This window comes from Homo sapiens, chromosome 9 (assembly GCF_000001405.40).
Source record: "Homo sapiens chromosome 9, GRCh38.p14 Primary Assembly".
Lineage (NCBI taxonomy): Eukaryota > Metazoa > Chordata > Mammalia > Primates > Hominidae > Homo > Homo sapiens.
Window position 1 is genome coordinate 17,791,597 of NC_000009.12, and position 6,000 is coordinate 17,797,596.

At 41.3% G+C, this 6,000-nt stretch overlaps 1 protein-coding gene across 3 annotated transcripts in view; it reads left to right on the plus strand.

Annotated features, from left to right (window-relative positions):
• SH3GL2 (SH3 domain containing GRB2 like 2, endophilin A1) overlaps nucleotides 1-5,528 on the plus strand; it is a 218,059-nt gene extending 212,531 nt beyond the window's left edge. For all 3 annotated transcript variants that reach the window (NM_003026.5, XM_047423730.1, XM_011518005.4), the window contains exons 8-9: nucleotides 1,771-1,901; nucleotides 3,948-5,528. In NM_003026.5, coding sequence (NP_003017.1) covers nucleotides 1,771-1,901; nucleotides 3,948-4,147 — 331 coding nt within the window. In that variant the 3' untranslated portion in view covers nucleotides 4,148-5,528. The remainder of the gene's footprint in view (nucleotides 1-1,770; nucleotides 1,902-3,947) is intronic.
• The last annotated feature ends 472 nt before the right edge of the window (nucleotides 5,529-6,000 follow it).

Genomic DNA, 6,000 nt, shown 5'->3' on the forward strand with positions numbered 1-6,000 from the left:
CTGCTGATAATGGATGCCATTTGCTGAGCAGTTATTCCATGTGGGTACTGGATACATATCATCATCAATCTTATAACAGCCCTGTAACCTAAGTGTTTTTAGCCTCGACTAACAGATGAGTAAACTGAGGCTAAGAGAGGTGAAGTAACTAGCCCAGGGTCACTCAGTGGTGCAAGTGGAGTTCACAGCCAGCCATAACCTGTGTGAGAGGCTGTTTCTTTTCACATCTTGTGTTTCTCTGAATGGCGGTCAAGTCCTCTGCCATCAGAGAGAGCTACTTTCACCTCATTAGATGTACCTCACAGCAGGGCTGTAGTAGTAGGAAACTACCGTGTGAATGTGGCTCCGTGGAGTTGTGGGGCACAGCCTGTTTGGCTATATACCAGTGGCCCTATGTTATAATATGTGTTATTTTAATTTAGCCAGATTAAACAGGATGATTTTGCTGAACATGTATACCTCAAAGGGTCACCTCAGCAAGCTTTTTTCTTAGGCCACATGGCCAGATTAGACTCTCACAGCTGATCACATGGCTGCCTGCGTGAAGAAGACACCAATCATACGATTCCACACCTGTTTTCGTTGTTTTCCCTCAGGCTGATCTCATTTCAGTATTTTCTTTGATTCATGGTTTAATTGAGCATTTTCCTTCGGCGCAGCCTTATGGAAATTTATGTAATGCTGAAGCCTCCAGAAAGGTTTTAAAACCATATACTTCAAAGATACTAAAGAAATACTATGTGTCTTTGTAATGTCTCTTGAGCATGAAGGGAGCCCTTTCCTTTTTTTCCTCTGAAATATGTTCAAAGTCAGTATCATTCTACAGTTACCATACCCTAAACCCTCGCCCTCCCTTGCATATCTCTTACATACTTTGTTTATTGAATAACTGAAACTTTGGAAAATATTTAGGGGTATGTAGAAGACAATTATTAGCCATACCTTTCCAATTTCCTTTTGTCTTCCCTCTTTCCTTTCCTCCTCCCTATATTTCAAACTGCTCATTCTTCTAAGAGCACACAGTATATTTCCTCCTTCCCTCTGTCCAAACCTTCTCATGTTCTGAATAGAATAGCTCCCTTTCACATTTTCATCTGGAAACAGCTCCTGTGTATCTTTTAGTTCTCTCCTTAAACCTCCTCCAGCTTCCTTATGGAGAGATAGACTCCTTCCCACCTTCACCCACAACCACACCCCTGTGTTCCTGTGGCACTTTGTAGATATCTCTGACAGTGCTTACTAAAATTTATAGTAATCAGTTGTTTGTGTTCTGTCTCCCTTACAGACCATAATCTGTTTGTGTCTTTTTTAAAATTGAAAAAATTGTGGGTACATAGGTGTATATATTTATGAGATACATGAGGTGTTTTGATAGAGGCATGCAATGCATAATAATCATATCATGGAGAATGGGGTATGCATCCCCTCAAGCATTTATCCTTTGTGTACAAGAACTGTGTTTTAATTCATTTTTGTGTTCCTGGTACCTAGCACAGTGCGTATTTGGATAAAGGACTCTGAATAAATGAGAGAGGAAGTGAGGGATTGAGAGAGAGAATGAAGACAGTGAGGACATGGCCCCATAAAGGGACATCACCAAAATCTCAGACATATACATACAAGAAAACTAAGGGTCCTTTTTTGATTTCCCACACTTCATCATGGTAGCATGGTGGGTGACCCAAGCATTTCCTGAATCTTTATATTTGCTTTTCATTTTACTTCTTAACTGGTTACATAACCTTTCCACCACTTTTCTTTTTACTGCAGAATAAGACAGGCTTCATCTCAGCCTAGAAGGGAATATCAACCTAAACCACGAATGAGCCTGGAGTTTCCAACTGGAGACAGTACTCAGCCCAATGGGGGTCTCTCCCACACAGGCACTCCCAAACCTTCAGGTAAGAGCTGAAACTGCAGATCCTATTGCATAGCCCTTGGCATATCCATTGGCACTCTTCCAGAAATTTTAGGAATAGTCCAATCTGGCTGCATAGGAAATATGCAGTAATACATTTCTTATGGAGTCAGTTGTCAGGTAGAAACTCTGTTAAAGGAATCCTTTTGTCTTTTTTTCATTTACCTTTTCTTTCCTTCCTTCTCATTCTTCTCTATAAAACTTTCTTTGTATATCCCATTTTCTCTGTCAATCATCAGCACACACGAACACATTTTGTTTTGACCCTCCTTTGTGGTCGTAAATCGCCTTTCCTTGTCAGTTTGGTCTGCGAGTGTCATCTTTTCTCCTGCGTGTTCGCTCTGAATCCAGCCTGTATGACAGTGAATGCCCCTGGACAGTGTGTCCCCACATGCATTCGCATATAACCCACAGACAGCAAGCGGCTCCAGAAATGTGCTGATGAGCTGGATTTCTTGAGTCACAGAAGCATATGGTTAAATATATTTGTAGAAGATGATATTTTGAAACTCGACACTTGCTGGGTTTTCCTTCCCATGCCTCACCTCTGATCACTTTATCATGCTGTGGCACTGGGGTTGATATAATAAAAGCTAGATGACATTTTATCTCAGGAATATCGATGCATACCAAATAGAGCATTCTTTACCTTGTCACACTTGCTCTCCACTCCTACACGCAGATTACACAACAGCCTGTGCTGGAGACATTTTCAACCTCCACATTTGCTTGTTTGAAGTGGGAACTGTCTTATACTGGATGTGGATGTTAGAGATAGGTAGCTTTCTTTTATTTTTCCTGTATCCCCAGTGCTTGATGTTCTACTGTAGAAAACTTTTTATAAGATGCTCTCAGGAGACTTATTAAGAAAAAAAGCGAGGTCTGAGCCGGCAGGTGGTGCTCTCTGTCCTTTGCGCTCAGCACTTCAGGGCATGACATAAGCAGCTGTGGCTCCTGGAGCTGGCCACCAGGACTAGTCACAGAAATTGTGTATAGCTATGCTTCTCCCTGTCTGAAAACCAACCATATATTTCACTTTTCATCTGGAGACTCAGTAATTTGCTTCTTTCTCTAAATAAAAAAATAAATTACATTGTTTCCTTTCCAGCCACCTAGATGGCATGGGAACTGTGTGCACTTGTCTGAGTCTGTATCTACATGTGTATGTATGTAGTATTAATACAGCGGGTCATTTGGAATAGATCCCTCTTAAGATATGATTTCATCCTTCATTATTTTACTCAAGGTGGAGTACATTATTTTTGTATGCCATAGCTCCAGTGCACTGCATATATTTATGTATGCAACAGTTTACCTTACCAAGTATAAATTACAAAATTTTTTACATAATCTCATTTAGTAGCCACAGTAGTAATGTGAAGTAAGTCCTACTGTTACATCCAATTTCAGACAGTGAAACTGAGAGCGAAGTACCATGTGCAAGGTCACAGAAAGTAAAAACTTGAACTCAGTGTTTTATATTATTCCGTTTTCACCACATTACAGCAGTTTTCCAGAGGCTGGGGTTATCATTTTAAAGAGTGATAACCGAACTGTTACTTAAAAGCATTCTCCATGTAATTCACCATACTTTTTCAGATATGCAAAGGTTTTAAAGTGCTCAGATGAGAGAATTCTTGCCATGCTGTGTTATTAACCTACATCATTATATTCTTCTTAAGTCATTGTCCCTCCTATTTCTGGGCATTATCACGAAGGCAAACTATAATGAACTGTGTTGTATGTATCACAAGAATAGATGTGACTGTTTTTCATACTGGAAACAGAAACAGGAATATGCAGCAACTTCCAAAGGTCCGAGAAAGCTTCTGAGGATTGGTAGAGGGCAAGATGCCCAGTGCAGTGGACACTAAGGTCCAGTAGCAAGAAGAAGCTTCAACAGGAAGAGGAATGAGGGAGGAAAGACGGGGAGCAGCAAGCCAGGTGGGTACAGCAGGCAGCAGATTCTGTGAGTTAAATACCCCTTATCCTTTTGTGTTCTTCTCTTCTCTCCTGCTCTTACTCCCAGGTGTCCAAATGGATCAGCCCTGCTGCCGAGCTCTGTACGACTTTGAACCTGAAAATGAAGGGGAGTTGGGATTTAAAGAGGGCGATATCATCACACTCACTAACCAAATTGATGAGAACTGGTATGAGGGGATGCTGCATGGCCATTCAGGCTTCTTCCCCATCAATTATGTGGAAATTCTGGTTGCCCTGCCCCATTAGGATGTTATGCTGGCTGGCTCGCCTCCTCTTGACCCAGATAGTTACGGTTAACCACTGCTTTGGCAATGCTGCTTATAACACATCCCAAGTGCAGGCCGCAGTGGTCCACGTCATCCAGCCCCACCAAGTGACTTTGGTTGACTTGTGGGCTCCCACAGGAGTCATGGTGATGGATGATATCCTCTTAGCCTGGTGGGCGTGGCATGTGCTTTTTAAAACATCATCTGAGACCAGCCAGTAGTCACAGAACTGCTGTTTACACAGTTCTCAGGAGGCTGTGGTTTCTTAGAATATGACCATGAGCCATTTCACAGAAAAACCATCCCACCGAAGATATTGTCTATCACCCCAGGGGCCATCTGAAGGTCTCTTTGCATTTCTCCATGCAAAGAGGAGAAAGCTTTTGCTTTCACACTGTCCCTTCCCAAATATGTGAGTCATGGAATTGTCAAAGTAAGCCTTCCCTCACCAGCAAATTGTCTCCTGATCTGAATGAATTTGTCTCTTAATGCATCCATAGAAAAGTGTTAATTGTGGGTTCAAAGCATTCTCTGCAAATAGGCATCTCAGCTCCTCACACTTATGGCTATTTCTGACGTATAGCCAGTTTTCTTCCCTCCTTGCTATTAAAGCCAGAGCGGTAATTCCAAATTATTTTTCAGTAAGACAGTTAATCAGCATTATTGTGAGAGGGACTGAAAAGAAATTCTCCATTATGAGGAATTGGGAAGAAATCTGGTATCCAAGCTTAAATTTCTTGCTATACAGAAACTATGTATGTATTTAGGCTATTTCTGAAGGGCACAGGGAAGGGGGAACAAATATCTTCACTTCAGTTTTATTTGTGAATTACATGTTTCATGAATCCATTTGGCACAGAGACACAAGGAAGAAAACACTAGTAACCATCTTTCCACTAGTTCATATACTGAGAAACAGTAAATACCTTTCCTTTCCACTTTTACCCTGTGTTCTTTGAACATCATTTGTGCAGATTCTGCCCTCAATGAGGACCAAATAAAGATGATTTTTGTGCTTAGCAGTTTAAGGTATATGGCTGCATATGCAAAACTCTTTCCCAATTCAGTCGCTACTTTTACTTCTGCCCTTTCTATCCATCGTCTTCATTTTGTGTGTACAGTGCTGTGTGTAAGCTTATCAGTGTGTTTTTTTATTTGTATCAGTCATGAAAGTCCTGTTAGGTATGCAGAGTTCTATTTATCTAGCTGTACAGACTCTTTCAGAGGTTTAACGTGCTGCTTCCGATGTGCCACCTGCAGTAGTGGATCATGTGGAGTGAAAGGCAAATCTTACTGCTTAATGTATAAACTCTCACCACAGGAAGCATCGCTGTTTCCAATAAATATTGCTGAAGACAGAACCAAAGGCTCTGCTCCTTCATTTTGTGTCAGTTCTTTGGGTCTAACACTGGGTGGATGGGGGCTGGTTTCAGTCTCCATTGCTTTCTCATGCAGCCAAACAAGACCTGGCTCCAACTTCATATCTACCTCTTTACACATAGGAAAAGTTTCAGCAGCAAGGAAGTAGCTAGCCTGGACATTGGGACCTTCCTGGTAACCCCAGGAAGGAGGAGAATTTGGGAGAGAAGAAAGTAAGGAGAATTAGGTCTCATAGATGTTAAATGATATATTGTTAAAAGTGGTATCATCTGAAGAATATAATGTTAGGAAGGGGAAATAAAATATATCCCTTCGAGTAGCCTCTTATTTTCTTTCGTAATTGAAGATAAAGAAATAGACATGGAAAAATAGTTTGATCGAAAGTCACTATTAGGCCAGGTGCAGTGGCTCACACCTGTAATCCCAGCACTTTGAGAGGCCAGTGCAGGTGGA